Source organism: Homo sapiens, chromosome 2 (assembly GCF_000001405.40).
Source record: "Homo sapiens chromosome 2, GRCh38.p14 Primary Assembly".
In the NCBI taxonomy this organism is placed as follows: Eukaryota; Metazoa; Chordata; class Mammalia; order Primates; family Hominidae; genus Homo; species Homo sapiens.
Window position 1 is genome coordinate 163,320,273 of NC_000002.12, and position 11,749 is coordinate 163,332,021.

The following is an 11,749-nucleotide window of genomic DNA, read 5'->3' on the forward strand; positions in this document are numbered from 1 at the left end:
CCCACAGTTCCTGTGGGCATATTTTCCTTCATGACAAAGAGTAATAATCACAACTTAGTCAAGTACAGGTATTTTCCTGGTAGTCTTTTGCTGGAGGTCATTGAGAGTAAAGAGAATTCCTAGATATATTTTCCTATTTTATCTGCTTTGTTTTAAGTAAGAAATTAAAGTATTAAACACTTTGCATTGGTACTCTTTTTGACTTGATTTAAAATAGTCAATATGCACTTAGCTATACAACCTATTTATTGACAAAATATCTGATTGGGATGATTATTTCACTGTGAAAGAAAACTCAAAACAGTAGAAGCAATAGAAAATCTTACTAATCTAATGACATAACTTCTCAAAATGCTTGTTTAAATTAATACATGAAGGCCAGGCGTGGTGACTCATGCCTGTAATCCCAGCGCTTTTGGAGGCCGAGGCAGGCGGATCACGAGGTCAGGAGATCGAGACCATCCTGGCTAACATGGTGAAACCCCGTCTCTACTAAAAATACAAAAAAATTAGCCAAGCGTGGTGGTGGGCACCTGCAGTCCCAGCCACTCAGGAGGCTGAGGCAGGAGAATGGGTTGAACCCGGGAGGTGGAGGTTGCAGTCAGCCGAGATCATGCCACTGCACTCCAGCCTGGGCGACAGAGCGAGTTTCCATCTCAAAAAAACAAACAAACAAAAAATTAATACATAAAATTTATCTTTAGTTATTACTAATTTCAAACACTCAAACCCTAACCATAATTTTTAAATAATAAATTCTTAATAGGTCTGTACACAATAGAGCTTTAATTTTTTGTCAGACAAGTGAAATAAAATTAGTTACAATTAGCATGTCTTGTTGAAATTGTCAGCCATTATTGGTTTCCCTCTGCTAATATTTTACTACTCTATTTTTGTTTCTATCATTATATATGAAAAGGAATATTTACATAAGAAATCTGGGCTGGGCGCAGTGGCTCACGCCTGTAATCCCAGCACTTTGGGAGGCCGAGGTGGGTGGATTGCTTGAGGTCAGGAGTTCAAGACCAGCCTGACCAACATGGTGAAACCTGGTCTCTACTAAAAATGCAAAAATTAGCCAGGCGTCGTAGTGGGCACCTGTAATCCCAGCTACTCTGGAGGCTGAGGCAGGAGAATGAACCTGCGGGGAGGTGGAGGTTGCAGTGAGCTGAGATCATACCACTGCACTCAGCCGGGGCAACAGAGTGAGACTCCATCTCAAAAAAAAAAAAAAAAAAGAAAAGAAAGAAAGAAATCTGGCAGACCATGAATCCTCCTTCTTTCAGTAAAGAGTTAGAAAAATCCCTTATTTTTCATTGTTCTTTGACATGATATAATGTAATCAAATGTGACTGATGCAATCTAACAAATCTAGACACAATATGAAATGCCACAGGAAAACAAGGGAAAGCTACTATATTTATCCAGCCTGAAGAGAAACAAAACTTCTCATGAAACATAAAAACAAAGGCTTTGGAAAATGAGCAAATAATACACTTCATGGAGTTTGTTCAAATATCTTATATTTCGCCTTTTTGAGATATACTCTATCATGGATATTATATGAAGTTTAGAAATTTTTTTCCCACTCGAGAGTAGCACAAGATGGGGCCTTTTCAGTTTTTAAACCTGTTTAAATACAATGGGAACCAGTGCTTTTGAAAAGACCTCTCTTCTGTGGTGTTCATGACTCGAAACCTGTGATTTCTCATAGGTTCCAAGGTAATTCTAAATGGACTACACTTCAGCTAAGCTGTTTTTCTGAGACTGTACCCTGCCTCTGAACTGTGCTAAAATAACCTTGCATTATCCTAATTAGGATTATTCACAATACACACATATTGCAAAGGGCCATTTTCATTTTCAATTAGTTGAAAAGGATTAGTTGCAGTCATACACATATGGTCCTGAATGCTATTATTATTAAACTCAATATTTTTTATTGCTGTTAAAATTATACTCCTTACCAATATAACTTAGCTAATGGAGTAAAAAGATGGTCTCTCCCTGACAAATCACTCTCTTCTAAAGAAAATTGTGAAGGTAACAATACCTAAACGGAAGAAAATATATGTGTGGTAAAGAGGCTGTTTAATCACGAGTAATGGCAAACCTAAAATTAGTTCCAATTAAAAGAGAAATGCATGGAAACTAATCTGAACGTAGCAGATAAAGGGTGGCATAAAGGAGAGATTATTAAGCAGAAGCATATAACAGGACCCCAGGTGCAGCACTTCCTCATTATACCTATTCTTGGGCAGCAATGTCCTGAGTGTACGGTAAACCACCGCACCCCCACCCCCCGAAAAAAAAAAGAAAAAGAAAAAGAAAAAAAAATACTCCAAGGAATAATTTTACACGGTTGCTACACTTGAGATGAACAAGTACATGTTTTTTGGAAGAAAGACCATAGCAACTTGGTTTTTACTTCCAAAATACAGCAGCATGTTAATTGCTTGATCAGCCAAATGAAACTAAATGTAATTAAGACTAGTGTGGGGTTAATTTGATCCATAATTATGTTATATAAAGTAAATGAAAATTGTTTCTTTCCTAAATTGCAATTCATTAAAATTACAGATATTAAAATAAGATACTATAAAATTACATGAAGCATGTACACATTAATAGCCATTAGTAATAGCTTGATATTTCTATCTAAGCAACAGTTTATTAAAATGCCAAAAGGTGATATTTGACCACTCACATGACTGGTTTTTTTACTCTGTTTTTCCATACTTCTAAGAAATATTTCTTTTCTTTTTCTTTCTTTCGTTTTTTTTTTTTTTTTTGGCTAATGAAGTAAAGTGTTCTAGTCTTAGTTTGTTTTTACCATTTTTCAAATGTCTATAATCTGCTAATAAAAGTACAAATCAATTCTCATTGAACCTTTATTAAAATAAAAACACAGGTACTTCATATTCGAAATGACATAGAGGTATGTACATTTCATAAGATGTCAAATGCATACAGTATAAGTAAAGTATTTGGGAGATTTTTGTTTTCAAAGCCAGATTCTGAATCACTGATTAAAATGATAGTCATACTATATGTTATATTTACGTAACATTTGGGTTTTAAGCTGATAAAACAGGATTGGGCATAAAAACATTAACTTAAGAAAAATGAAAGGAGGTAACATTTATTGTATGCTGTTTTGAGCATTGTGCTATGCGCTATAAACTATTTTTATCCCCTGGTGAAGCTGGTGTTATTGTCTCCCATTAACAGGTGAGAGAACTGAGGCTCAAGAGATTTAAGGAGCTTGCCTGAAGTCACTGAGCTACTTGTGGCATTTACTGTGAGGTGGGGGAGGAGTTCTTTTCTCTTAGACATGATGTCAAAACACAGAGAAGCAATTAATTTGCCTGATACAACAACATAGTATTTTAATTCCAACCTTATATTCTTATTCATTGAAGATAATGTGTTTATTTCTGTGAAACTAAAAAACAGAATATCGTAGCATATTATCTTCGTGCCCATTCACATGATATTAAATACAAGTTAGCCAAATAATCTTATTATTTTGAGTCCCTAAACATCTACAGGGCCTACTTAGTGGTGGAGAAAGAAATACAGATGGCAAGTGGAACTATCTTATTGAATAGTAATAAACATCTTACATGGAGTTCCACTGAGTACACATAGAAAAGGCCTATGTTTTAGGGTAAGAAAGCGTAGGCTGATTATTATACTGTTGAATTGGAAGGAAAAGAAGGAGTGAGGGCTGGGAGAAAGGAGTGCAAAACAGTAGAAAGTGTTTCTAGATTCTGTTGAAGAGCGCTGGCCTCCCTGTATGTGATAATGCTTTTTACCTTTACTCCTTTCAGGCCTGAGGAAAAAAGTGATGACTTGAAAATTTGATGTTGTAAAGAAAAAGCATTTGTAATAGAATTTAGGTGCAACACTCAGCAATAGCAGTCTATCAGTTACAGAACCAGAGATATTCAAACCAAGTCTAACTGGAACTTCAATATACCGCAATATATTTATTTATTGCTATGAAGCAAGTTATCTGCACATTCTTGAGAATCTTATATACTTTCTTTGTACAACAAACTGTCACTATATTACTATTAAAAATAGTATGCAAACATTCACAAACAATTCTCTGTAGTTGATTGTACTGCACTAATGACAACCATCCTTAAATTTTTTGGAAATCACCTGCATTTCTCTTACAGTTGAAGCCATGTTTCATAAAAGAAAAAATAAAACAAACAAATCATACTTAAGAAGTTGCCAGAACACATTATTTACAGTAAGCATGTATGCTTAACAAACCAAATATTTAATATTTCATGCATGAAAAATGGGCAGACATCACAGTCATTAGTATTCCAGGTGAGGCAGAACATGCAAATTTACTCAGCCATTAAAGAATGAGTCATATGCTATTTAATATAACAAAATAGTTTATGCATATTAGAGTAAACAGTGAAATCACAATAGAAAAAAATGGATTTGATTCAGATGTTGAGCTGCTATGTAAACCAATTATCTATCCGGAGGGAAACAGCTCTGTCTACAACTACTTAGGCTCTAGGGCCTATTACAAACCCTGGAGTGGGCTGCTGTTTCTGTTCTCCAGGGAATTTACCACGTCACACTAGAAATAGCTGACAATAATTAGAAAGCCTGCTTCTGCCAGTATTGCACACATTTTTAATACCTTCCTAAGTATTATGGGAGATAATACACAAGGTCTTTAGAATTCTAGTCATGCCACCCAAGCCATGGAAAGGACAACTAGACAATAGCCCCAAACTGGACTGTGACAGGCTAATTATTGTGGCTTCATTATAAAACCTCTTTTTACATAGGTCACCTGGGAAGTGTAATTAAAAATGCATTATTGGGGTATTTTTTATTGAAGCAATTAAATTAAAAAGCCAAAAAAATAATTATACGAGGAGCAAATAATGTTGGTCAACAGCGTTTATCTAAGAAAGAGAGAACACGTTAGTGGTTCATTAGCAGTAAATGTGTTAACGGGAATCTGTTTGAAAAATGAGCCATAGAATGGCTTTTAAATACGGAGATTAAAGGATTTATAATGTCAAGTTTAACACAGAAATTATAGATAGTATTATATAACTATGAGTAATAGCACCTTTAATCTGACTTAGTAAAATGATTTACATCATACTTTGTGCTGCTTCAATTGTATGAGTATTACACGTGCTACATCTCAGCTAGATAAGTTGCCTTATTTTTTTAACACACTTACGGATCTGTTCTAATTATATGGTACATCTAAATAATTAGATGTTAAAATATGTATCTTCCAGGGCAGAATTTTTGTCTTGGATATCCATTCTATGTAAAGATACCAAAACATGACACCAATTATTTAGGAAAAATTTTATAAAGCTGTAAATATATCACATTGAACTATTCCTCCCTGTCTCAAAATTCTATTGGTACTTCTCCCCATCATCATTGTTATTATCACCATCACCACTATAATGATCGTAATCACTAATAATTAATGAATGTTTATTACTTGCAAGGAACTAAACATTGCATATTGTATAGACTTTTACTTTCGATTCTCTAAATAACCTTAGGGATTAATAATTTATCTCTGTTTTTTAAATAAAGCTAATCAATTATATAGATATAAAATATAGGTAGGTAATGTATTATCTATTTATCTATAAAATGCAAACTCTTCTTCAATAGACTATCCTACAGTAGTGATAATTTTTACTTTTATGCTACTGGAAATCTTCCATACTTTAAGCCTACTTATATTTACTGAGTATTTTTCAGATAAATAAAAGCGAGACAAACAGCTACTAAGTCAGAATTTCACATGGTATTGCTTTGTTCACTTAGGAGAAGAAAATCAAATTCAGAGAGGTAGAGGAACATCAATTATGGAAAGCTGTGAATGCCAGAGTGAATAAATAAGTGGATGAATAGGTAAAAGACAGAACTTGAAAACATAAGTTTATTGGTATACATGGAACTCTTGATTCAAGAAAAATATTTTTATGGTTGACAGAAAAAAAGTTTCTGTTTATTTTCTATCTTAAGATTGAGTGTTGGTCATGAACTAGTTATTGGCTAGTGAGTCTACATTATATCTTGGTGTATTATGATTAATTTAATTAGTAGTTTTAGTATAATAATGCTGGATTAGAATTTTATTAGTGTTAATATTTTTCATATCAGTAGCTTCCATTCTTGAATATCTACTGTAAACCAGGCCTTGTGCTAAAGACTTTACATGCATTATCTCTAAGCGTCCACACATCACTGAATGAAATTATTCTCATTTTAGAGATGAGAAACTTGTAGTTCAAGAGGTCAAGTGACTTCCAAAGTCACGTTGCTGACAAATTGAGAAGCTCAGATTTGAGCCCAGTCTATCCAATTTCAAATGCATGCATTTTCCAGTATTACACTTTCATTAGGGAAGAGTTTATAGAAGACATTAACGTAATTTTGGATTTTTTTCTTTTTCATATGTTGTAAATCTTCCTTAACCCCAAATTTAAATTCATTCAAAATGTATAAAGCTCAAGTAACCAAAACCATTTTCTGAGTACTGTGTGCTGATAATTGAGACTTATCAGGATAGCTGTAACACATGATTTTGAGTTCTTAAAGAAAAAAAATAGATGATTAAGCATCACTGTGCATTCTGATTTAAGAATATGTCTTTAGAGTGTAGTTATTTAAAATTAGAAATCAAAAATCTATGAGTGATATGCATATGTTACCTTGGCTATTTATGCAAATCAGTACTCCATGTCCTCAATATTGAATACATGGAAAGATACTAATTTATGGAAAGATGCTAATTTATCATTTGTCAAATACTACAGCATAAACACGGAACTTTTACTGTGAGTACATATTTTAAACATATTAGCTTTTTATTGTCCTATGTTCTAATAGTACATTTATTATTTATTGTAGTAGCTGCTCTAAAATTTATAAAACAAATTGCATATATTGGATGTTGGAACATTACATGCTAATTGAATCAAAAGAGGGAACTACCATTCACTAAAAAGTTCCTCTTTAGAGTTTTCCTCTGGAAACCTCAAACTAATATATATGTCTTGGAGTAGGATGATCTATAAATTAGAACAGGGTTTAGGAATGTAAATAGAGCAATGTTAGACTTTTGAAACTTATGGTAAAATTTTTTTTAGATTACAATGAAAGAGAATTAAAAAGCTTTTTCCCCTTAAGATAAATAGCTGGTATTTGTAAAATCAGGTAACTGAATAAACTTTGGATCAGTACATTCTCTAAGTATCTAACTTCTCTTTACTAGACTGTTCTAGCCTCCTGTAACCCACCTGGGAATAATATACATTGCTTTAGATAGTCACAGATTGCACGGATGTTCAAAGAAGAGTACTCAATGCATGAAGCACTATAGAAAGCACAAAATTAATTGTAGAAAACAATTAATTTTCAAGGATTTGCACCAAAACCAGAAATATACAAAAGTCAAGGTGATGTGTTTATCACATCTATCACCCGACTCTATGCTAATGTTTCATAAACATGTCCCAGGACCCACTCAGTACACCTGGGACATGAAGGATCTGATGTTAGTGTAACATTTTTTGAAACAACCATTAACACCTTGTCCCATTCATTTACTGTATTTATTTTTCTTTGAAGTAGGGGATCATTTCTGATCACTCATTCAACACCTCAACTTTATTTCTGCAACTTTTCTCTTTGACCTTCAAATTTTACCAGTTGTCAAAATTATTTTTTATATACTGGCTCTGCTTCCCAGACTTACATAAATAGAAAAAAAAACTAGCTCTTGCTACATACCCGATAATACATGCAATGTGTTTTATATATCTAATTTAGTCTTCACAATAAGCTATGAGATAGGTACAACTATTATCTCTATTTTCCAAATTAAAAAAAAAGGCTCAGAAAAGTTAAGTAATTTGGATAGAACCACACATTTCAAAAGAAGTGGAGCTGGGATAAAACTAGATTTACTTGAGTCTAAACCCCTGTTCTTTTTCATTATGTCTTACTGCCTCAACTAGACTTCAAAGAAACCATCTCCTTTCTGGTACTTTTAGGCAGACATACTAGTAACAGATTCCATTTCTTAGAATCCATTTTATAGCCAATGCTGATTAGGAGAGGTTGCCATGCTCCCCAAGCTCAATTTTCTGTCTGGAAGGTGAACTAAACTAATTCACTTCATGAGTCTTACTGAATCCCACAGCAATATTTGAGATGTCCAGGCTGAATCTAGGACTCTATGATTCTTGTAACCTTGGTGGGTCAAAGTTAAGAAAGTATTCAATAAAACAAAACAAAACAAAAAAAAAACTATCATTTTAAAGCAGCAAAAAGTTTTTATCTGACAAGAGATAGAGATTTCAGGGAAGATTAGTTGTGAGAAACTCACCCAAATGGTCCTTTAAATATGAAATAGGATCCAAAGACCTTCTTTGGAAATGGAAACCAGAACTCCTCCAGGTGCTAGATTATAAATACTATCTATGCATGAGACCAAGAGAGCTTTAGAGAAAATATGTCTTCTCTGTGAGGCCCAAAGGTTTTGAAGAGATGTCATGATATTTACTGAACAGGATTTAAGAATTGTAAATGTTAGAAATTGATGGATCTTTTCTTATAAGAGAATCTATGAGACCTCAGACAGAAGTGGAACTTCATCAAAGTTCAGGCTATAAAGTGAGGCACAAAATTAAGACCAAAAAAAAAAACCAAAAAAAAACCCCCCAAAACCAGTTTTCCCTCCTCTAGTCCAGAATCTTTATGTTGGAAGTCCATTTTCCAATACATGTCCTATAGAAAAGCAATTAATTGAAAGTTTTTAAAATGTGAATTATTTGTCTCAGGTTTTCTTGGTATAAATTCTATAATCTACAAATGATGATTAATATACTTCCTTCTTACACTTAGTTTATATATTTTTCCTTGTGTTATCAGGTTTGCTGTAATGGCAAGTCATTTAAAATTACATGAAACAATGAAAACAGTGAATTTGAGCACCTTCTAGAAGAAAGGACTTGAGAAAGAGAGGCCACAAGGAAAGTGAACAGCTAAAATGTGATTATGTACTATGATGGTGATGGCTAGGACTACGGTAACAGCTACAGCAATCACAAAGAAAGAATATTTCTGAGAGGTTAAAGAATTGTTTGGCCTCAGTGATATGAGAAAATAATGTTAAATTTGTCAAAAAACAAATCTGCATTATGACATCAGAATAACCAGAAAATTTATCATATTTTAAAAGTAAATAATATATTCACTTAATTAAGGTAAAAGAAATTGACTAAAATTATTAGTTTACAAAGAGTATCTAAAGATTAATGAGAACAATAAAGATAAATTAACAGATATTAATATTTAAATGTTCTTCTGAATCTCCATGTACTGATATTTAACTTAATATTATCAAAATAATTCTTAATATTTCATATGTTCACATTATTTTTCCAGTTTCAAAGTGACTTTACATATATTGCCACACTTGATTCTCACAATGACCCTGTGAAATAAATAATAGCAGAGATATTCAGCATTCCTAGCTTTATAGACTGTACACCACCATCACTTACATTATTGATGTTCATATTTTCATCAATCATTTTATCGCTCAGTTCTGTGGTTTCTGCATGAACTTAAATATATTTTCAATACCAGCACATCAGATTTATTTTACTGAATGTGATCTACTATCTACAATACACAGATATTAAATGTCAATTTATTAAGTTACTTTTTTTAATCTATGAAGATTTTTTTGACATTGATGTTCTATATGATGGTTACAGTCTATTCCTAAAAACTGATATGGATGTTTGTGATATGATATGATATGATATGAAACTGCCAAACTGTTTTCCAGAGTGACTATAAAATTTTACATTTTCACAAGCAATGTATTAGTAATCCAGCTTTTCTGCATCCTTGCCAGCTTTTGATGTTGTCACTATTTTTTATTTTAGCCATTCTGACAGGTGTGTAGTCAGTTCTTATTGCAATTTTAATTGACATTTCCCTAGCGATTAATTTTGTGAAACATCTTTTTCATGTGCTTACTTGCCATCTGTGTATCCTCTTAGGTGAAATATCTGTTCATGACTTGTGCCCATCTTCTAATTGGATTGTTTGATATTTAATATTCAATTTTGAAAGTTTCTTATATATTTTATGCACTAGTTACTTGTATAATATGTGATTCCAAATATTTTCTCCCAGTCTCTAGCTTCTCATTTCTTCATCTTTACATGGGATTTGGCAAAGCAAAAGTTTTCTAATTTTGATGAGGTCCAATTTATCAATTTTTTCTTTTGTACTCTTGGGCATTTATCTGAGAGAAATGAAAATATATGCTTACAAAAAACCTGTACACACATTTTCATAGATTGATTTGTATTTATTTATTGATCTTAATGCAAGTCATAAATTAAAATAGATTTTTTGTTCCAGAGCCTAAGTCCAAGAACAATCTCACTCATTTCTCATATTGCTTTTCATCATTTCTATAACAGTTGTCTATCACATGAAATTCAGTAATTTCCCAATATATTTAACAAAAGATTTTGTATAAGTAATGCATGGTTTCTGGTCATATGGACAATTATTTTTGTTTATAGCATTTCTTTCTAATATAACAACTATATCAATTCAATAATAGCAAGCATCTACTATATTACCAATGATCAAAAAAAGTTCAATATATGATTTCCTTTAGCTGTTTAGTTCATTTCAGAGTAAAGATATAAGTGAATCAGTGCAATATAGTGTGATAAACGTTTTGGTAGAAATGAATCTGGCAAGGTGATGAGAGAAAGCATTACAAACCAACAGTTACTTGCATCTGGTTCAGTTGGTACACAAGTTTGGGTGGAAAAGAGTATTTCAGTCCCAGAAAAAAGTATACAAAAATGTAGAGGCACCAAGTAATATGAAACATTTGGGAAAATGCAAGTCATTGGCTCTGCCTATAGCATACAGGGTGAGTTGGGGAGCTGTGGGAGATGAGGTCTGTTAAAAAGTTATGCCAGGTATAATGTTAGCTTATTTGAGATCTTTCTTCTTTTAAAAATGATAAATATTTGAGGTGACGAACATGTTTATTAGCCTGCTTTGATCATTCCACAATGTACGTATGTATCAAAACATCACTTTTTACCCCACAAATATATGCAATTATTATTTGTTAATAAAAAATAAAACTTTTTAAAAAGGTATAAAGATCAAATTTTATTCTGTAGTAAAAGAGAAATCATGAAAATATGTTTTGAGTGTGGCAAAGCTAATATCAGATTTAAATTAAAAAAACTACCATTAACATGGAGATGGAATTAGAGAAAAGTGAGATTAGAAGCAGAGACAATAGCTAAAAGACTATGGTCAAGACCATGTGAGAAATATGGGATGTATGGACGTGACAGTTGTGAGGATGTGTTGAGAAAATATTTAAAAGCTATTTAGAAAATAGAAATGACAAGATTGGTGACATATTTTACATGTGTAGTGAGGAAGAGAAAGGGATCGAGAAAGACTCACTGGTTTTCTGACTTGAGTTTCCAGTGAATCTATGGTTCTTCACTTGGATAGAGAATGCAGGGAAAGAGACAGTCTTGCCTAAGGAGGAGAGTGTGGACGGTGGATTTGTTTGAGACTTGTGGAGTTTGAAATACCTCTTGGACATGTAGGTGCTCTAGCCAACACCTCTTAAATTTGAATGTGCATATGAATTATTTGG

General features: G+C 32.8%; 1 long non-coding RNA gene across 1 annotated transcript in view; it reads left to right on the plus strand.

Annotated features, from left to right (window-relative positions):
- LOC105373727 (uncharacterized) overlaps positions 1-9,147 on the plus strand; it is a 70,096-nt gene extending 60,949 nt beyond the window's left edge. The window contains exons 3-5 of the long non-coding RNA XR_923547.2: positions 3,232-3,306; positions 5,845-5,931; positions 8,959-9,147. This is a non-coding gene — a long non-coding RNA (uncharacterized LOC105373727). The remainder of the gene's footprint in view (positions 1-3,231; positions 3,307-5,844; positions 5,932-8,958) is intronic.
- The last annotated feature ends 2,602 nt before the right edge of the window (positions 9,148-11,749 follow it).